A 23183-nucleotide genomic window follows, 5' to 3' on the forward strand; every position below is an offset into this window, starting at 1 on the left:
GAGTGTCTCACTGTTATACTTATTTTCATTCCAAACTATCTAGGAAACAAAGCAGCAGGTTAAATTATTGGGCTATCTATAAGACTTTGAATAAACACACCCATTTTAAAAGCACTAAATAATGAAATTCTCTATTCAAAATATGCTATTAAAAGCACCATTCTACCGAGTTTATCTTTGACTCTTCGGCTAGAGGAGGTCTGATCATGAGGAAAGCTTGGATTATACATCTTAATAGGTGATTCTGCCTCAGTCTTTTGAGCTATCCCAGGAAGGCTGTGAAGATTCTTAAGATCCTCTCAGAAGCGTTTGATACCAGAGAAGTGCAATGATGGAAACGCTTAAGAGTTAAGCAGAAATTTTTAACTGTTCAAAAATTTGGGCCCTGATTCAGGTTAACAAGATGCTAGTCAGGCAGAGATTTTTAACTGTTCAAATATTTGGGCCCTGATGCAGGTTAACAAGATGCTAGTCCTGCAGTAAAGACCAGTGGCTACTGGTTTGGCCTCTTGAAATGGTCTGCCTCAAGTGTGAATCCCAGCTCTACTACCTAGCCATGTGACCTAGAGTAAGTTACCTGAACTCTTTAAGCCTATTTCCCTGCTGTAAAATGGCAGAATGTTTACCAGGTTGCTTACATAATCCATGTAAAGTGCTTAGTATATACCCAGTACTCCGTAAATACTAATTTATGTTGTGACATGTCCCTTTTAATAATAGCTAACGACAGTATCAGTGCTTATAACTAATGATCTGAAAACGTTATTTGGAAAAAATGAATCCTTAATCCTAGGGATTCCCTGCACTGAACCCAAACCCAGACTATGTGTTACTGATTTGAGAACTTGTTTTTCTAGGATGTAGTGGTGGTTAAGGAAGTTGTGCCAGAGACTGATTCTGTATAAGCACATATGCACATTTTCTTAACTTTGATTCCCTACTTTGGAACAATTATTATACTGTTCAACAATACCTTGAAATAACAGAATACAGATTTAACATGTCTACTGAAATACTTTAGTAGGAAAAATGTTAAACAGTTCTTAGATGTAAAGCATAAAAGCAAACTCAATGGTGAGTTTAAGGGGTAAAACTATCAATCGGTTGAAAAAGAAACTATTTGCATAAAGGCAATTTCCTTTTTTTCTTTGAGACAGGGTCTCACTCTTTCCCAGGCTAGAGTGCAGTGGTGTGATCACAGCTCACTGCAGCCTTGAACTCGGGTTCAAGAGATCCTCTCACCTCAGCCACTCTGGTATCTACGACTACCTGCACCTTGCACCACCACTAGATATATATATATATTTTTTTGTTGTTGTTGTTGTTGTTGAGATGGGGATCTAGCTTTGTTGCTCAGGATGGTCTCAAATGATTGTCCAGCCTTGGCCTCCCCAATTGCTGGGATTACAGGCATGAGCCACAATGCCTGGCTTTTGTGACACATACTGATGAAGAAAAGTACAGAAACACAACTATCAACTTCCTGACCACATGAAACAGTCTTTATGGTATAAAAACACTTATTCTAAAAGAAAGATTATTTTTCAGATTTTTAGTGAGGTAGTATAATTATGCTATTAATAATATCTTTTATTTTGGTCTATAAATGAGTGTTAACAGACTAATTAAAAAAGATAAAAGTTGATGGGGGTTTGAGCATAAGAGTCTTAGAGTAGCACAGGTTAAAGAAAGAAGGCAGCTGCAATAAGACACAATCTTAAAGGCGCGGGGAAGGAACAATGTCAACATGCAAAGGCTTAAACTCCCCTTTCTTTCTCAGCTAATTTTTTACAAAGAGAACTTAATTCAAAATTCAATTCTAATACATAATATATATATAAAACCCAATTTGACAAAATGGAAAATATCTTTCATGTCACAAATATGGTACTTAAGTATACTCAATAATTTACTAATGATTTATACTAACTGAAAAATATGGTATTCATCATCATTTAAAGTTTACTCAGTATTTCAACAAAGTTGCTAGTTTATATTAATAACTTATTATAAAAAACAACTATGGATAATTTTATTAATTTTTACCATAGAGTTCAGATAACTGGTATTGACAAGTATGGATAATGAAATAAAAATAAGCTCTTACAGCTAATGTGAAAAACTAATCTGTACTAAAACCAGCAGATTACATTCCCATAGACTGCAGAAATGATCTATTGTGCTATAAGGGTTGAGGACAGTGGGTTGGAGAGTAGGGACAATGTACCCACTCTCATTTTAGAGGCAAGATCATGCATATTATTAGAAGAGTGATTCACTGTAACACAACCATAACATTTCAAGTACATTATAGAATTTTCAATTAGATTTCTAAAATTTCAAGTAGAAAAAATTCCAAAATATTTTCAAATCAATATCAATATCCAAAAAGTTCAGTCCCCATTCAGAAACAGATAAACAGTATATTTATTAAATGAGTTAAGACAAATAAACTTTACAAATAGACAAATAATAAAAGGCTCAGTGGCTAAAATAGATGGTAAGCATCATTGAAAGAAATCAACACCATCACGGTATCTCAGTTGGCTTACACGTGTAAAAAGAAATTTTCAAAGAGCAATTTCACAGAAATGAAGCCAGTTTTTTTCTTATAAACAAATCACCAATTCTTGGTTCAAAACTGACATCTGTTATGAAAATTACCATATCACATATTTGTAAGATGACAAGGAGTAACTCATCTTCAAAGTGCAAGTAAGTCTATTTACAACCACAAAAAAGGCAATGATGAGGAGAAAAGGATTTTTAAAAAATATACAAAGATTAAAAACATTTGGGATGCAAAATTAAACAATTTTTTGGTTAGAGGATAAAAGAGAAAAAGTGATTGAATTACAGATTTCAGCTATACATACTATATAATGGGATCCAAGATCTTTAACAGCTTGCTTGCATTTTTTTCTACCTACATAATGCTCTGGAAATTTCTGGTAGAAATTACAGTGTCTCAAAGAGAGAAATACACACTAAGCATGTCTTGCTACTACTTCATAGATGTCATAAGACCCGTTTATGGATTAGAGTTGGTGTAGAAAGCCATTGCCTTGAGTTGAAAAATGAATACTGTAAAAGCTCAATACAAATCCTCCAAAGCACATGCACTTCTAAATCTTTTGGTAATTACATTCATATTTAAGCATAACCAAAATAAAAAAGAAAACTGAAAACATTTCCCTTTTCTCTATTCCCTATGCCTTGTGGGCTCTCCAGTTGATAGGGTCAATTTTTAGAGTTGAAAGGGTTCTTCAAGATAGTCCACCACCCTTATTTAGGGTAAATGATTTTCCCAAGATCATGCAGCACATTAATGGCAAAACCAAGACTAGAAACCAGGTCTTGACTCCTAGTCTAATATGCTTTCCAGCATATCATGCTACCTCTTTTTTACAGTATGATTCACTATAAATACCTGATGAATAAATGTACAATTACAAATGCTGACAGAGCCAATGTGTTTCTAAGACCTGCAGAGGATTACTGCAAAGATTTGATGGTGAGAAAAAGATTTCCCCCACCCACCAAAAATATCAAGCACCATCAACTAAATGTTTCTTTGCTTGGTCAGCACTCTCAGTTATAGTAGCAGTCCTCGTAAACTTTATGTCAGCCTGAGGATTGTGTATCTGGTGAAATCTGGGCCCTAACACATGCCAGTTTCTAAAGGGTAAAGACAGAGGCAAAAAAGAGAAGAAGGTAGATGAAGGAAAGAAAAAGAGAGCTAAAGAATCCAATTGGCTTAGAGGTGGGCATTCTAGCATATGGTTAATTATTGCATCTAAATATATCATTTTAGAACCTTTTCATGTAATCTCATTTTACCTAATCTGTTATTTGGCCACTTAAGAATTAAAATAAATGTATCAAAGACAATGGTGGTCATTGTTGTTATGTTTTTTACCTGTGAGACTATTTTAGACAAACTAAATTCAATGAAGAGTATGTCAAATGGTAAAATTGTGTTAATTTTCTTAATCTGATTCTATTAGATTACCAGCAAGGAATTAAAGCGGTACTTCATGGGGCTGTTACCATCTTGAAATGTATTCCAATTGTGGTCAAAGAGAACAGACTGATGCACTGTATATGCAGAACTGAGTAAAGAAGCTGAAATGTCTTTTAAAAAAACATTGCCATGAATTTATTTAATAAAAGGGCATATTTATTTATGTTTACAAACAAGTTTCAAAAACAAAAGGAAAACATGTATGCTTCTACTTATTAACCTTTTTCAAAATGCCAACAGCCCTCATGCTGTGTGAAGGTCTCTAAAGATTAGAAAAATCAATACAGTTCACTCACAGTTCACCAAGACATCACTAAACTAACATGTTTAGACAAAAACAAAAAAGACTAAGGTTCTCTTGTAGTTTGATAGTCTGATTTAATTTGATTTGCCTGAAATAACAAAAGCATTTCAAGCATCTTTCATTATGTAGTTGATGTCCTGCATTAAACAATCTACTAAATTCTGAACAAAAGGTTATTAGCAAGTTTTCAAAAATTTTAAAAATTAAACAGTTGCTTCAAAACCATTAAGTAGTAAATGTATTTAAGAAACTAATTAGGACAGATGTCATAACTTCATTAGAACACCACTGCTCATGTTTTTTTGTTTTGTTTTGTTTTTTTCGTTTTTTTAAACAAAGCATTAGTGTTATCTATTTGGCTATTAGTATTAGCAATTTATCTACAATATTTAACAAGGTAAATTGTAGGCAAAAATTTAGTACAGTTTCAATAGAAACACCCCTTTTTTTTTTTTTCCTGAAAATACAGCAGTATTTGAAGGACTAATTTTTCTCTGCATCAGTTATAAGGAAGCTTCCCATCTATGAACAGGAACAAAAAAAGTATCTACAAACCTTGTAAACAGATCTGTATCATTTATAAACATAAATAATCCAAATTATTAACAGCCAACAGCAGAAATTAAACTATCAATTCAACGATCCAGGGCTCTTTGTCTTGCCCAGTTTTACTCCTCCCTCTCTCTCCCATCCAGGACTGAGATAAACTAAAGCTCTGCTAATACACTGTTCAGGACCATGCTTGGGTACTACTGATGATCCACAGGTCACTTACGCTGAGTTACTGTTTATCTGTCAGTTCATTTCTCCCACCCCCCAAAAAGCACCCTCAGTCTGGCAGAAAGCTTTGCTTTTTTTTTTTTAAAAAAATAAATCTACATTCGTACAAGTGTGTCTTCTGTTGAAGTCCAAAGACAAGAATACTAGCTTGTCCATCACAATATGTGAAAAGACCCAGTTTCAATTTGTTTCTTTACAATGCAGCTAGTGTGTTAACATTCAGCTTACAATCAGAGTGATGTTTCCAAACTATGTAGTGGGCTTCCTGGGGATGAAGAGGTAGCAGACTTGTTCATTTCTATTGTAAGGTGAATTCCACTGTCAACAGCATTGTTATTTTTGTTGGGAGAGGGTGGAGGACTGGAGTTACGTTTTGTAGGAGCATCATCTTCGGCATCAGTGTCATCAATAAGGGGGATATGAGGCTCTGAATCTTCTATCCTAAACTCAGGATGTGTCATAAAGTTGTGAATCGAACTTCTTGATTCCGGTTTTTCTAACCCTTCATATAAAGAACTACGAAATGCATTCACCACTCGAATCTGTAAATATCAGAAAATACAGAAATATGTCAGTACACTATTAACAACTTAAAAATGGTTCATTTATGAGTTTGAATCCACAAACAGCTAGGTATGAGTGAATCATATTTGCATGTAATGCAGTGGAACTTGCAATACACTGTAAAAAAATGAATATTTTAGTAAGACACTACAGAACAACAAAACCACATACTCTAAGAATTAAGAGGTAAAGAATTCAAAGTAATATTAAGAAAATCTCATTGTCATTGGCTAAAAATTTAATAGCCATTTTATAGGATTTTTTCCCTAAAAGAACAAATCAAACACAAAACAAAACAAAAACTTAACCATACACAAGCTTAGCTGATTTTTTAAATTAAAAAGAATGTATTTTGAAAACAACTCAAATAAGTTAAACAAAATCAAGCACAAAGGGTTACTATTTATCATGCTAGGAATTAGGGTGTCACCGACCATGAAAAAGCCAAGCAAATATAAGCTGAATGCCACAATGAACTCACATCTACCCCACTACTCCCTTAATTAAAAACAAAAATAAGAACAAAACCCAAATAAATGTCTATAAAATGCCATTAAACAGCTATAAATATTTGAGTATATGCCATTTGTCTATCATTTGTCTATAAAGTTTTAGTGTTTTTCTCTGTAACAGATTAAAACTTAAATCAATTACTACAGTTATCTGGAAAGAATAGATCAAAAACAAAAACAAATCCTCTGGGATTCTTCTGTGAAAAATTTCCCAAGAAGACACAAAGTGTTAAAAGTTTTCTAGTATTTTCACCCCTAAGCAGATAGCTCAACAATTCATCTTCCTCTCAGTCTGCTGTATAAATGAAAAAGATTAGTGGGCAATCAAACTTAAAAACATCAGTGCACACACTGACATTAAGTGCTATTAACTCAAGCGTCATTCAGATTTAGAAAAAAAAGGACAAAATCCAACTAGTTGAGCATTTACTATGTATCAATTCAAATACAGTGTTTGCTTTTGCTTTGATTCTAATAAATCCTGTTTAGTAATAAAGACATCATTTACTCATTGTTAAGAGAAATAAATAACACTTTGACATTCTAGAAAAAAGATGCGGTCACCAAATTCATCTCTTTAGACAGCAATAATGAATAATACATTTCTTCAAATGAACATGTGAATGTGTTTAAAAAAATGTAATGTAGAGTTTAGGGCCATGCACCCACATCTCACCTTCAAGTTGTCTTTCCTTATTTGCCAAGCCCTATTTGTAAGCTGCTTTTAGTCCATATTCACTTAGCCCTTTATATAGAGAGTACAGCATAGTCAACTGAGAAATACAAAAGCAAAATGTCTGGGTGTAAATTCCAGCTCTGCCACTTACTACCTGAGGAACCTCGGTCAAACAGGTTTCTTCAACTATAAAATGGGAAATAGCAATGGTACTTGCCTTACGGGGTTGTTGTGGGAGATTAAATTCGTTAGCACACTACAAACTTAAAACAATGTTAGGTCACAAGTATCGAGGCCAGGGCTTCTCGAACTTTAATGTGCATACAAATTAGTTGGGGATCTTGTTAAAATGCAGATTCTGATTCAGCAGGGGCCTAAAGTCCTGCATTTCTAACAACCTCCAAGGTGATGCTAAAGCTGCTGGTCCATGATCCACACTTGGAGCAGCAAGCATCTATTCTATTAATGTCTTGCAGCTTTACCATCTTTTATAATTCCATTCTATTTGATTGCTTGTACTTCAGTTCCTTAATTTGACTGATGAATAGCAGCAAATATTTTTCAACTTCTTTTATTGCTCTTGTTCCTCTTCCCCTTTACTAAGATGTAAAGTGTTCTACATATGGAATGTAAACAATGTTTGCTAAATATAACGTTATAGTAATTCATTCAGTGTTTTATTGTGAAGTCTTAAAATTCACATTTTATACATGTGAACATTCAGCAAGTATCCTGACTGTCCTAATAACAAACTGTAAAGCTTAAAATGCAAAAAGATAACTTTCTAAAAAAAAATTTGTTGGTATCAGCAGCCCGTAGGCACGGAGGAGAATACAAATTAGAGGATCAGCCAGCAAACTTGATGGGTGATGAGAACTGTTCAAGACAACCCTGAAGATGTTGCTTATTTGATAAGGTTGCTGGTGCTGCTGCTACTGAAGATAGAACAACAGTTAAGCTTTCTGTGTATGTGTGTGTTTTCCATCTGTTTTTCTTTGTAATCAGTCGGTATAAAAGTGAGCAGTGAAGAATCGGGGGGAAATAAATGTACTTTTTAAACATGTTAAATTTGGAAAATATCTAGAGCTCAGAAGAAAAGTGTAAACTTAAGTTAGAGATTTGAGAGTTAGTGAAGCTCTAAGAGGGGCAGAGTGTAAAGGTGAGGGCAACAAGTATATGTGCACACACAATCACACACATACACCGGTGGCAGGCAAAGAAAGATTAAATCCCTTCTTAGCAAAACTTCAATTCTGAGAAGATTTTTCCTATCTGAATTTGTTGAACAATATTAGAGATTTTTTTTTTCTAACCACTTCATAAATAATAAAACTGAGCAACAGAGAGGATGGGTGGCTGACTTGTTAAGGAACTCCTAATTAGTGCTAAAGAGTCTTAAAACCTAGGTTTCTGGGCTCCCAATTCCAGGTTCCTTGGAAGTCAAGAGAAGACAAAAACATACGATCATTTACTTTATCCCTAACTTCACTTGAATAAAACATTCCATAAGATTAAGGTTAATGCTTCCTTTGTCTGACACATCTATTTAAGCCATATGTCTGGTTAGTTTCAGCACGTTACTAGGCCAGTTCAGCAATGCTCGAAAGCAATTCAATTTTCAAAGAACAGTTCTCGAGATACATACAATAAAGCTCAGATTAACCAGGAATCATCGAACCAGAGTTGTTTTACTTTCTACTTATAAAGAACATAAGAAAGCACTCTTGATCTAAGGCATGACACTGAGCTGGCTCACACCTGCTCTGATCTTTATTACTTTCTGTATGTAAAATTCTCACAGTACAGTAACTGTGAGGAAAATAATAATTTTGTGCACAATACTTTAGGTAGGAAGGAAACTATATTAATAATAATTCAATTTAAGTAGAAATATAAGTAAACTTAATTACAGGCTTTTGAAAATCCAAGCCTATTTATTTTATCCAGTTTTAAAATTCAATTCCTATTTATTAACTATTTAAACCTACTCTGTGGAGCATACTTATACCCCTCGAAATTATCAGAATTAAGAAAAATTCAGTAATTCCTGTGTCAAAAATATTCTGTAAAAGTAAACTGTTCAACAGAGAAAAAAAAAAACAAAAATACTGCATGAAGCACATATGGTAAACAAAAAAACTGAAGTGATTATCATAATCATGAATTTTAAGAAACTGAAAATGATTATCAAGGTAAACAATATATGAAATATAACAAATCCAAACAAGATCATGTACCTACAAAACCAATTTTTCTAAATACCATCCTAACTTTTAATAGCAGAAAATAACATTGTTTACTGCCTAAAACATTGTACAGAAGAGAGAGCTCTAAAATACTAATCACAAGCCAATAAATCTTACCTTCTACAACAAATTGCCCACTTCTGAAATTTGTTTTCATTACTACTTTTCTATGTGCACTAACTTAAAGAATTGCAATGGTACAGTAAAAGATACTTTGCAACTAGAAACAAAATTCTAGATTGTTTTCCAAAGTTGGGTACTTGCATATTAAATTTTCTCAAAAGGAGACCCACCTGTGTAATGTTCTTATCTATCTGGAACAGGGGTTGGTAAACTTTTTCTGTGAAGTGCCAGACAGTAAAATATTTTAGGTTTTGTGAATTATACAGTCTGTCATAATTATACAACTCTGCCCTTACAGTGAAAAATCTGCCACAGGTATTACTTAAATGAATGGGCAACGCTGCATTCCAGTAACAACTTATTTCCAAAAATAGACAACAGGCTAGATTTGGCCCATAAGCTGTAGTTTGCTGATCCTTCACCTAGAAAACCAAATTTTCTCTCAATTTCTCATTTCCAGGAATGTGTATTTATTTATTCAGGAAAAAAAAATCTACTAATGGTAAAAACTGGTGTTAGAATGATATACTTTATAAATAGAAAAAAACTACAGAATGTTTTCTCTAGAGACCTGTAAGAGTGAAGATCTGACTAATAAATGAAGGGAAAAAGGTCTCTTCAGAGATGTTTGAGTCTAGCATTTGACAAAGTCTAAATGGATTATTTCTTCTATTTTAGCTAAGCAAGGTCACCCAATAAGGGTTAAATAATTTTGACACCCATAGGTAGTTCTAAAACTATTCCATATTAGGGCAGAAACACAGTGATAAAATGAAATCTTTCATTAAATATATTAACATAGTTCTATATTTTGGCTGATGTTCTGTACCACCTAAGACAATGCTCCACCAACAAGGTTGAAAGACATTTATGGTAACAGCAACATAATTACTGCAACTCTTGGTGTATAATGACAACTGTATTAACGAGATATGATTTACTCCCTGGATAACTCCAAGAACATAGGACACAGAATAAAGAAGTAAACATCTCAAACCTTGATAAAGCAACAACTACAAACTTTCCTTTGCCACTCTCTTAAGTGCACCTTTACTTCCCTGAAGTATCTGCTCCCCTAGCCACATGGGCCCAGAAACTCAGAGGTTTCATATGTAACTGTGCATCAGAAAAAAGAGCCTGGGATGGAAAAAAAGATGCCTGGGTGCAGAGGTGTGTGCATATATGTGTCTGCCTGCCTGTCTTAAAAGTTTATGATTGCTTTGATATTTAATATAAAGCTTGGAACACAATCAGACTGAGAAATATAATAAGTATAGTACACCTAAAGCCATCTGATATCCCTCTAAATGAAAAAAACAATTATTTAAATATTGGTAAATAAAAACGAATAGGATACACATTACCCATGAGATAAACTTGTCGAAAAAGTTTAATATGAAGCTAATCAGTAGCAATCAATCAGACAAATCTGGAATGTAGAACCCTTCATAAGACAATTCACCTGGATTTTTCATAAGTCAATGTCATAAAAAATAAAGGCAGGGAATGAATACAGGTTGGAGACTAGACTCATAACACACATACTGTCAATAATTATTTCTTGGATTAAAAAAGCTATAAAGGAAATTTTGGGGGCAACCAGAGAAATCTGAATACTAACTGTCTGTTAGATAATATGGTATCAATGTTAAATTTCTTGGATAATAAAGTATGATTATATACGGGAATTCTTAGGTACATGCTGAAGTATTTAGGGATAAAACACTGGTATCTGCCATTTTCAAACGGCTCAGAAAAAAGTTTTATTAATATACAGATAAAGTAGTGTCATAAAATATTAAGTGGTAAATCCAGGTGAAAGATTTTCATGTATTAATTTTTCAACTTGTCTGTAGGTTTGAATTTTTCAAATTTAAAATTTTGAGGGAAGGGGGTTTATCAGGATAAAGTCTTAGTTTGGCTCCTTCTTGTGGGGTATAAACAGATACTTACTTTCCATTTCAGCTTCCCTTAGTTTATTACTCTTTCAGTACCAGACTATTATCAATCCCTTAGTTTATTCCTCTTTTAGTACCAGATTATAATCACTGAGGCCTCATTTGGTGAATTCTATCAAGGGTCATCTTGGGAGTCACCTCCTTCAGGCAATTTTTCTTGACTTTCCAGGGTAGGCTAAGGACCCTGTTAAGACAGTTTGTGTTTTACTACCATGTAGAAATTTCCAACTACTTTTTTTTGTCCTTTACTAGGCTGCAGGTTCTGGAGGTTCCAGCATAGTTCTGACACATGGTAGGCCTTCCATAAAGGCTTGTGGAACATTTACCATCTAGGGCTAGGTGGTAAGGAGCACCAGAGAGAGAGGCATAGTTTGAAATCCACAGATACAGGGAGGAAGAGGCATTTTTATTGTATCAGGCCTAAGGCTAGGCAATTTATGGTTACCATTTTATTCAGGTAGGTAATTTTTAAAAAGAAGAGTTCTAGCTGTCCCTCTATGTAAATTTAATATCTTAATGTTAGCGAGTCACTTGGAACACTTTGCTTTACATCATGCGGCCTCTGCTTATTAGTCGTAGAGAAGTTATTTAAACTCTAAGGCAGTTTTCACACCTGTAAAACAGGGACAGTTCTTACTGTGCCTGTTTCACCACATTTTAAAAAATATCAAATGAAAATATACTTAAGTAAATACGGAAAAAACAGGCATTAAGTGGAAAGTCTGCACTGTTTTCTCCCTTAATTCATCCTCTCTGCAGCTTCTCAAGGTTCCTCTAGTCCTTCGCTGGCTGGAGACCAAATGGAAAAGATAGGTCTCTGTCTACTTCAAGGCTAACCTTAGGTAGCTCTGTAAATTTTGGGGTTTACATCTTTAATGCCTCCAATATATTGAGAATGCGCCATGAATTCTCAGTAAGATTTATAGCTTATAAGGCTTTTAGAAAGTTTGCTATTTACTAAAAACCTGAAAGAAAATGTTATTTTAGTCAATTATTGAAAATTACAACATTTATTGGTTCAACGATTAATCAATAGTATACTTTTCCTACTTCTACTGAAACTTAACAGAACATTTCTTATCTATGATGCAATTTTTAACTAAATTGTCTATACAAATGGAAAAAAAAAACACCCCAAACCATAAATACCACAGAAACTTTTTAAATTTACACAGTGATTTCCCCTGAAACCACTGCACAACCAAGCAAAAAAAAAAAAAAAAAAAAAAAATCAAAGCAAGGCAAAGTTCAGGTTAAGAAGGCAAGCAACTGGCTATACATACTGAAAACTTGTCTTCAGGCTACTAACTTACTTTCCAAATTGGACAAAAGTCAAAATGCTAAATTTATTCTTAGCTTTGAAAATGCAATTTCCTGGTTCTGTTAGATGAGTTTCAAATCACATGCTTTTAGGAAACATGCAATATAAACATGTTTAAAGGCATATACTCAAAAATTTATAGTAGTTTCACAAGTTCTAAGCTACAATTTTATTCCCCATATTAACTATCAGAGTTAGCACAGAGACAAGCTCACAGATTGCATCTAATCTTTGGTTGCAATTGTTCCACCTGTTATCTAGCCCTCTAAGAAATAAAACAACAACGACAACACTTTGAGGTCTCAATCCACTTTACGAAAAGAAAGCTTTATGAAAAAGCCTGAACAATGAATTCAAACATTAAGGAGAAAATGAGAAACGTTAGGTGTGTGAAGTAGGAAATGTTAATTTCATGCACTTAGGAACACACACTCACACCCCACAGTAGTAGAAGCAGTAGAAGAGGAAAACACTACATGTGTAGGGGTAGAAATATTTGTTACATCATGATGCTGGCTGGCGATGGAGGGTTGCCGCCTTAGAGCCCCCTGAATGGAACTTCCACTCTGGAAAGCATTCACTACATCCATCTGCAAGGAATCAGAGATTGTGACAGCTTGCTCAGCAAGAGAGAGAGAGAACAAGAGAAAGGACCATTCCATCTATCAACATATAAAAAGAAAAAGGCACTTTTTACACAGCATATAGGCAAGAATAGCATTTTGAGATGAAGTGGGGGATGGGGGAGCTAGGAAAAAAGGAGCTTAGGGGCATATAGACACATTCTTTCATAATCAGTTAAAAGTCTCACTCATTCCAGGCACCAGTATTACTTTTCAAGAGAATACAATTTGTGGGTTGGGAAGGCTAGAGAGGAAGTTTAAGGAGCACACTCGAACCTCCTCCCCAGGTCAAAAAGCCCTGGCTCCCATCATCTCTCCTACCTCTCTACCAGGCCCATACCTGTGTTTGGATTCTGTTCAGACCTCTAAACCACAAGATTTGGCCACGCCGCAACTCCCTTTCAGCGTGATCAATCTCTTCAACATCCTCTGCTAATTCCTCCTCAGGTATTTCTTCCTTTTGTGTTCCATGACCAGCTTCTTTGAGGAATTTTAAACGGCTAGTTGGAATTGTTGAAATAAGCTACAACACAGGGGAATGAACTTAGAAATAAATCATATCAAGTAAAGGTAAGCTGATCAACTGTAATACTAAAGGTATTAAAAGTGGTGAGAGTATCCGACTATCTTTACCAATGAAGTAATGGGATCCTGTTGATTAGTCTTTCTCTCCCAGAGCAAAATACATTCTTCTCTTAGCTACACAAAAGATTTGAGTTTGAAGGATAAAAAGTTTTCCTAAATGGAAATTAACCTGATTACATTTTTCATATTTTCATCAGGACATTCAAGACAGTACATTGTAAAACCATGCTCTGATATATGTATTTACTTAAAAAGTCCTATTTATTTTGAATACAATGAAAATGGCAGGTGGTCTTACTAGATGCAAAACACGTTTACATTTCATTAATGCTGTCAGAGTTCAATGAGAAAAAATGTATAAAATTTTTAAAAAAATCATTAAGGTTACACTGAAAATAGTTTTGTTACATATTTTTTTTAAAATGCAACAGTTTAAAATTGGATTAGTACTGATTGATGACGCCAAACAAAAACAGATGCCCTAGAAAACACAAAGGATACAAGAAACACCAATACACGTATATTAGCTTATGTGTTAACATCCATTCTCTAAGGCAGCAGTTGGGTTTATCAGGGAGAAACAAGCATGTAGTCAGCTACAGAATTCTGCTTGGAGAACTTCTAGTACACCCACCTCATTTCACCAAGGTGAAATAGGCTTCAAGGCACATAAAGTGACTTGCTCATGGAGTGACTAGGAACCTAGGTCTCCTGACCACCAAAGGCAGTGCTTGTTCTACCATGGTACACTTAGTATGGGTCTTACTTAAAAGATGATCTCTATTAATGAGGTACTCAAAATAGATAAGAAACCTCAGAATCTAGAAACATAGTTAAGAAAAAGAAGAGACACAAAGATGTAAAGATTGGGCTACATTTAAGGAAAACCTGAAAGTCTGGTTTCACTGATTTGCAGAATGACAATAAATTAGCTCATGCAAATTATATGCCATAATATATATTAACCTTCATCTATGAAAATGTTAGATTTTCTATAAATTAGTTTTATAGTAATGGGCTTAAAATGAACAATGCATAAATCACTGTCACATTTAAAAAATAATGACATGCATTTGCAAGTAAGCTGCCTATAGTAAATATGAGGTATATCTCTTATTTCAGGCACTTTATTTCATATATACACTGTTAAAGCTATTCAATTCAAATCTAAAACATCATTTTGTGACCCCTTTTTCCAGGTAACATTATTTTTATAAAAACATTCTCTAAGGTCAGTTTTTCCTATGCTGCATATTGGATTAAATTACAGAACAAAATGACAATGTATTTTTTTTTTTTTTTTTGAGATGAAGTCTCGCTCTTCTCTCCCTGGCTAGAGTGCAATGGCGCGATCTTGGCTCACTGCAACCTCTGCCTCCTGGGTTCAAGCGATTCTCCTGCCTCAGCCTCCCAAGTAGCTGGGATTACAGGCGCCTGCCACCATGCCCAGCTAATTTTTATACTTTTAGTAGAGACGGGGTTTCACCATGTTGGCCAGGCTGGTCTCTAACTCCTTACCTCAGGTGATCCACCCGCCTCGGCCTCCCAAAGTGCTGGGATTACAGGCGTGAGCCACCGCACCCGGCCATGTATTTTTTACATTGTTGTAAAAAATTTTTTTCTGAAAATGTAAAAATAGGTTATAGAGTAAAAGATACAGATATTAGCATCCTAACCAGTTATAAATACATCATTTTTAAAAACCGCTACAAAACTTCTAAAAAACAAGTTAAAAAAACACATAAAAAGTTAGGATAGTATTTTATAGTACAGGCATAATCATAATGAACAAGTGACATACTGGAACTAATACGACATTAAAAAAACTTATCTTTGAATGCCCTCTCTTTACTCACCACATTAACCATTTAGAATCAAGTAATGAAACTGTTAAAGAAAATACACACTAGAAATTAAAAAAAAAAATCACTTTAGGTTTAAACAAAAACTGATGAAATTTTTACCTGGCCCCAGAGTAATGTTCCCATTCCTAGGAATATTGACCATAGCCACTGTTCTATTGAAAGTTCTGAACAACTGAAAGGTTTTCCACCAAACTGCACAATTATTATCTGGAGGAATAATCAAGAGTAAATTTACTTAAATCTTAAATTTTAAAATTCATATACTTAAAAAAATATCAAATTTATGTCCTCTAAAACAAGGTGAACAACCACTATTCTGATGAATTGTATTATATTAGTCACAACTGAAAATAAGACAACTGAAATAGACCTTTCCTCTTTCCCCTCCAGTCCACTTTGCCTCTTAGAAAAAAAGACAACTGAAATAAAGTAAAATCTCTGCCCAATATTTTTGATGCATGCGTATTTCATGTTTAAATTACGCTTACTAAAAAGTAAAATTCTTATGACCAAGAATAATAATTTTATACTGTTTCCAATATAACCCCAAGCAACTACATTCCCCTGTATTTAGTACAACTCTTCAAATAATCTGTGCCTTTCTCAAAATATAGTACTCTTTTGTAGAAAAGACTGTATGTTACTGGAAAAATGCACAATATTAAAAAAATTCCACATAGCTGTTTATTTCTAGTTAACATTTAGACATACTAAGATAAACACAGACTATATGAGAAGAAAGGCAACTTGGAAAGTTCTATGAAATATGGGCTAACTCAGGTGAGGTGATCTCAGATTTGCTCTCCTTTATGAAAAGAGTGAGGTCTGATGATGAATATAAATTCATAATACAGTGCTTATGTTTTGCTTGTTATTCTAAAAGGCCTAAAATAGTGTGCATGGAAATATTAAGAATTAACTGGGGTTGGGTGTGGTGACTCATACCTGTAATTCTAGCACTTTTGGAGGCTGAGGTGAGAGGACTGCTTGAGCCCAGGAGTTCAAGACCAGCCTAGGCAACATAGCAAGACCCTGTCTTAATTAAAAAATAAATAATTTTTTAAAAAAAGAATCAATTAACAATATTCACCCTCCTGTGAGTCTGACAGGCCTCTCTTTGATATGGCAGTTAACTAGTTCCCAAATATTAAAATCAAAAATAATTTTGGTAGTTAACATTTTAAAACCTTAAAGTTACAATTCCTTTCTTTTTAGCTCTACTTTATTCAAATTCAAGTCATTTTCACTTCTCGGTTCCACTATTTTTTAAGTTAATTTGTGCACTTGTACAGATAGATTTCCAACTGCTTTGTTAGTAGCCCAATTAGATTACAACTGATTTGACAATCAGGTCTGGATTTTAGTAGAGATATAAAACTGAAGTAATTTTCTTTTATAAATCAAGAAAATAATGAGCATGAAGAATTCAATATGTATTTGTACAAGTGATCTTAATTTTTTTTAAAATTTAAACCTGATCTTTTTTTTGGTATAATGTGGGATGTAAAAAGAATACTAAAATGCTGGGAAACAATTAATTGATTGGCTGACTTTGTTTCCTAAGAAATAATATCTTTCACTTTACAGTTGGAAGAAATAAAACTGTTTGTCTAGTTGGTTGTGGCATTTACTTCTAAGAACAGGAGATTCAGTTCCCATATTCTTTAACATATACCTTAAATCACCATGATATTATATATGTCACCAAGGCAACAGTTCCACACATGTTCCACACAAGTGATTGCTAGAACAAGCTGTTTACCTAATGTCTCCCATTTAACAGGCAAATTTGAAACTATCTTTTCCAATTACCCACCTGTACCACAAAAGTGCCTAAAACAATTGTGCAGAAGATGGCATTGTTAAAGATTCCTTCGAATACATTTCTTTCACCATGAATTTTCCGGGCATTTATTTCGTTGAAAAGTTGCATCAGCACAAAGGTATTAAAAACAATAGTATAATGTTCTGAAGGAGGAGCATGCAAAGGAGCATTTCTTCCACTATCAATGTCAAAAAACTTTTCTCCTGAAAGAATGAAAAATGACTATTTTGTAATTATCATACCAAATTAGATTTCAAGGAGGTATACAAATTACAACTTAGCTAGACCTTTTATTTGATCTGAAATGGCAGCATGGAAGGAGCTAGAGAAACCTGGGATTATCTAGTACAACTCTCTTGTTTTATAGGCAAGGAAACAGAAGCTCCCAAAACTATGGTGATAATCTCAGGATCACATATCTAAATTAGTGGAGAGCCAGGGTAAGACATCAGGACTGTTTATTCTCCTGTTTATTCTACTATCTAGCTTATTGTCCTCCCAAATTTACTAAGCACTCACTGATTAAGAAGAAATTAAAGATAAATGGGAAGTCAGGAGTAGAATTTAGGCTCTTGAAAATTTGTAACATTATAACATCTTGGATGATTAGCTTGGAAAAGAAACAATTAACTGAAGCTTTATTAGACACTGAATTCTTACCAGCAAATAAGAGTGTAAAGACTACTACAAGTTGATAGAATGCATGACCCAAAATATTCTTCATCATTGTACGTGAGATGAGAGGCTTATTTCTACCATAAGGTTTCCGAAGCAAGAGAGACTCAGTGGGTGGTTCCGTTGCCAGAGCCAGGGAAGCGAGTGTATCCATTATGAGGTTTACCCACAGCATCTGCACAGCCTTAAGCGGTGAGTCCTAGAAAAGATATGTTTCCTAATAGACATTCACAACTACTCAGGGGCTCAGCAATTCTCAGGAAACCTTTAGGGTTTAAAAACTTGAGAAACAGAACAGGATTATATTTTTATATTAACTAACCTAAAATATTAAGCTTCAGCTTAAATATTAAGTATTTTTTAAGAGGCATTTAATATACTTTTTAAATTTAAAGTAAACAAGTTTTGATAGACAAGTCATCACCTACTTGAGTAATGCAGGCGCCCGTAAAAGCAACAATCACTGCTACTACATTAACAGTAAGTTGGAACTGAAGGAATTTTGAGATGCTGTCATAGACATTTCGTCCCCACATAACTGCTTTAACAATGCTTGTAAAGTTGTCATCTGTGAGAATAATATCGGATGCTTCTTTAGCTACATCAGTTCCAGCAATACCCTGTTAAAAAAAATTTTGTGAATTAGACTAAATGTTTTAAGTATAACTTTCAAATAGTCAAAAAATACACACTTAATAAACAAAAAGTTTACCATTATACCTAATAAATATTACTTAAATTTACACTAAAAGAAGGTAACAGAGTTATTCTAAGATATTACTAGGAAAGACATTCTGGTTTAGCAGAAATCAAACAAAGAATGAAGTATTAAAAATAAGGTTCAAGTTGGGTTAAAAATGGAGGAATGAACAAAGACATTACCCAAGTTCCTTCCAAAAGCCACACAAAAAGGTATCTGTTAATAAAAAGCAAACAAACTCTATGAAGACAAAGTTAGAGGAAAAGGAGATTCTACCAAAAAACAAACAAACAAACAAAAAACCCATAAAACCTTAGAGGCTAGAAAGCAGACAGCCAAATGGTAAGTAACTCAGCAGACACAAGAAAGCTGAATCCTAATCCAAGTGTAGAGAAAGTAGAAGTAGCCCCCTTTCCCCCCAACAACAGAACCCCCCTGTCAGCTCCAGACTTGGCAGATTTACGTGGCACTGGAAGTAGGGGTGAAGGTAGGAATAAAAAAAGGAAGATCTCTTGAAAGTCTACTGAAGACGCATTTAGAAGCTTCAAACTAATAACAATGTCATCAACAGGAGAATGGGGTAATTAATAAATTGTGGATTAATAAAATGAGTGAACTACAACTATATTAACATAAATGATCTGACAAACATAATGCTGAATAAAGAAGATGAACTCAACACATAATGTATGACTCTTCTGTACAAAGTTCAAAAACAGGCAAAAGGAATAATCTTCAGGATACTGGTTATCTTTGCAGAGAGACAAGGCAGTAATTAGAAGGGAGTAGGATTCACTAAAAAATTATCAAAAAGCTTAACCTCACGAACCTTGCCACGAGCTGAAAGTGTTCCCCAAATTCATGTGTTGGAAACATAATCTCTAATCAACCAAGTGCAGACATGGAAACTCAGAGGTGATATGATGAAGGCTCTGCCCTCATGTATGGATTAATATCATTATTTTGGGAGTGGTTTCATTATCAAGAGTGACATCATTATAAAGGTGAGTTTGACCCCCTCTTGCTTTTGTGCTCACTTGCGGTGTTCTCTTGCCCTTCTCCCATGACATGACACAGCATGAAGGTCCTCACCAGATGCTGGCACCCTGGCTCTTGGATTTACTCACTTCCAGAACCTCAAGTCAAATAAACTTTTATTGTTCATGAATTATTAAGTCTTAGATATTCTGTTATCACAATACAAAATGGACAAAGACAAACCCTTTCTCAGGAAGCAGCTGGAGAAGATGACTCCACCAGATAAGGGAATAAACCAAAGAAGATGATGCCACTGAATTCATGAAGTACAAGATCCAACACAAAGGAGAATAAAGAAAATCCTCAGGTATGGAGACCAAGAAGACAGCTGTGCAGCAAGGCTAGCAAACAGCGAGTGCAGATTAAAGCATGTTGAAAGATGCTGAGAGACGTATCTCTTAGACACTAAAATTGGTAAGAGTGCTAAAGGTCTCTGATGTATGAAACAGAGAATTTGGGGATGAATTAGTTAAGTACATAGAAAAACTAAGCCAAAAAAATTCAAACAAACCAAATAAAAATTAAAAGAAAGCAAGTAAAAGACAACAAATTATAGGGAACATAAAAAGCTGTGTAAGGAAGGAAAAGTAATTACAGTAGACCACACAGATCAGGTTGAAACAGCATTTACAGTCACAGTAAGTCACAGTAAGGACTGAATATTGATCAAATCTAAATTATGATATAACTCTGCTGGCAGATGATGGGATAGGTAGTGAGCATGAAGGTATATGCGGTGAATGTGGTCTATATGCTTGTGAAAGCACTAAGTCCTCACCTTCATTAATGAAAGTCAGTAGTTAAAGCCTTATATTAAAAAAATCAAAAAGCACCAGAATTATGTGATTCAGAGATATAAAGGTACATAACTAAGTAAAAGAAGCAGCTAAAACAGTTTCCTTTGGGAGCCAAAAATTTGGTATGTGGCAGGGAACTTGCTATTAAGTCTTATAGAACTACTTGACCTTTTAAATGCTACGCATACATTGTTTTGATAAACATGAAGTTCAGATGAAACCTTTCTCAAAATACTCAATGAAGAAACAATCTTATTTTAGAATCTTAGTCTCCAGCTCCCAATGTGAATATTTTACTTTTAATGTCCCACTTTTTTTTTTTTTTTTTTTGAGATAGAGTCTCGCTCTGTTGCCCAGGCTGGAGTGCAGTGGTGCGATCTCAGCTCACTGCAAGCTCTGCCTTCCGGGTTCACGCCATTCTCCTGCCTCAGCCTCCGGAGTAGCTAAGATTACAGTCACACATCACCACACCCACTATTTTGTATTTTTAGTAGAGACAGGATTTTAATATACCATGTTGGCGAGACTGGTCTTGAATTCCTGACCTCAAGAGATCCACCCGCCTCGGCCTCCCAAAGTGCTGGGATTACAGGTGTGAGCCACCATGCCTGGCCAATGTCCCATATATTTAACACACTTAAACTCAATGGGATTTCTTGATTCTCATCATACCCATATTATACAAATGCAAATCTCACCATTCCCTTGCTCAAAATCCTTAACATTTCTAAAAGTAACTCTATGGTGTTAATTGGTATTCAAATAAAAACTAGTTCTATGATGAAACAAGTCTGGAAAACTTTCAATCACAAAACGTTAAACTGCTTTTTAAAAATGAGCTTCTAGGAGTCATATGATATCGCATAGTGTGTCTCTAAACTTACATCATCAGAAGTAGGCTTGGCAAATGTTCATCTACAGGATAAGAGAAAAAAAATTCCTTATCATGGCATTCAAGGCCTTTTTAATGTGGCCCCCTGTGAATTCTTCTAGCTTCGTATCTCATTACAGCACCGCAACCTCTTCTAGTTAGATTGAAAAACTTGTACATAATTCGCTGATGAATGAGGGCCTCTTGGTTCCTCTCCTTCCCTCAGCTAAACTGGCACCTCTTCCAGAAAACCCTTCCCAGTCTCTACAGGCAGAGTCAAGGACTTCTGCCTGAGACACTTGTCACTGTCCTGTAATTATTTCCATGTGCTGTGAATTTTTAGGAGACAGCAACTCTTCACTTCTAATGTTCCGGGACTGGAATACTGAACACAGTCTCAATATTTGGAGTCCCGCATTAATCCAAATAAAATTTAAATAAAAGTATTTTAATTACCTTAGGTTTTACTACCATAGATGTATTTGATTATTGGATTACACCATGAGATTCAGTCTTTGATGACAGCAGTATCTCTATACATGGTTAACTAATTTTTGGCAAGAATAATTTCATGTGACAAGGATTCTCTCCTTCGACCAAAACTTGCTATGTAGATAATTGTTACACTATATTATTTAGGGAATCATGACAAGAAAAAGTCTGCACATGTTCACTACAGATGCAACCATCCATATTTTTTGTCCCGAATATTTGCGATCCACAGTTGGTTGATTCTGCGGATGCAGAATCCATGGATACAAAGGGCCAAATGTACAAGCAGAACACACACTTTATCTATAGATCAACAAATCAAGAAAGTATGCTCTAAAATGCTATATCTGCCTGAAAATAGGAGATACATTTAGAAAGAAATTATCAACAGCGATTTCTTGTAACTAAAAAAAAAACTCTAAGACAATACGTTTGTCTAAGTTTTAACTGTACAAATGCAAAACCAAAGTAAATTCAAGCTTTAACAAGAGTAGTTTCAAGTCCAAGCTACCAAGCACTTACAGTTTCTCTATGTTTTTAAACTAAATTAATTTATTTATTTCAGACAGAGTCTCGCTCTGTCACCTAGGCTGGAGTGCAGTGGTGCCATCTTGGCTCACTGCAGCCTGCGCCTCCTGGGTTCAAGTGATTCTCATGCCTCAGACTTCCAAGTAGTTGGGATTACAGGCGCGACCACCACATCCAGCTAATTTTTGTATGTTTTTTTTTAAAGTAGAGATGGGGTTTTGCCATGTTGGCCAGGCTGTTCTTGAACACCTGACCTTATGTGATCCGCCCGCCTCAGCCTCCCAAAGTGCTGGGATTACAGGCGTGAGCCATCATGGCCAGCCTGTTTTTGAACTAAATTTAGACTTTTGATGTTATCATTTAAAAAAAAAAAAAGTGGTATAACTGGGCCTAAAACCATGAAGAGCTTAAAAAACACTAACCAACAAGCCATTGTATTGTGTATTTGTTTGATTATATTTACCTGTATTTATTTAAAGCCCATTGTATCTGTCTTACATTCAAGTTTTGGGAAGAAAGCTTTTTTTATTTTAAAATTCATTTTACATAACTGCCTTTCTGGTCAGCTGTCAGAATGTAAATAGCAATAAGAATCCTGCTAAATGCTCAAGAGCAGCAGTGAGTGATCCTATGTTCCTAAAGGGAATGAGCCTGTTTGCCTACAGCAAAAGGAAGA

The 23183-nt window shown here is 34.7% G+C and overlaps 1 protein-coding gene across 44 annotated transcripts in view; it reads right to left on the reverse strand.

Moving 5' to 3' along the window:
* ATP2B1 (ATPase plasma membrane Ca2+ transporting 1) overlaps nt 2404-23183 on the reverse strand; it is a 121318-nt gene continuing 100538 nt past the window's right edge. For 18 of the 44 annotated variants that reach the window (NM_001413053.1, NM_001413060.1, NM_001413056.1 and 15 more), the window contains 6 exons: nt 18510-18701; nt 18067-18280; nt 17398-17609; nt 15681-15788; nt 13472-13654; nt 2404-5650 (listed from right to left, as the gene is read on the reverse strand). In NM_001413053.1, the coding sequence (NP_001399982.1) occupies nt 5339-5650; nt 13472-13654; nt 15681-15788; nt 17398-17609; nt 18067-18280; nt 18510-18701 (1221 nt within the window). In that variant the 3' untranslated portion in view covers nt 2404-5338. Of the gene's footprint in view, nt 5651-12944; nt 13099-13471; nt 13655-15680; nt 15789-17397; nt 17610-18066; nt 18281-18509; nt 18702-23183 lie in introns of all 44 variants that reach the window. The other 26 variants (NM_001366524.1, NM_001366525.1, XM_047428890.1 and 23 more) reach the window with 9 other exon arrangements.

Source organism: Homo sapiens, chromosome 12 (assembly GCF_000001405.40).
Source record: "Homo sapiens chromosome 12, GRCh38.p14 Primary Assembly".
Lineage (NCBI taxonomy): Eukaryota > Metazoa > Chordata > Mammalia > Primates > Hominidae > Homo > Homo sapiens.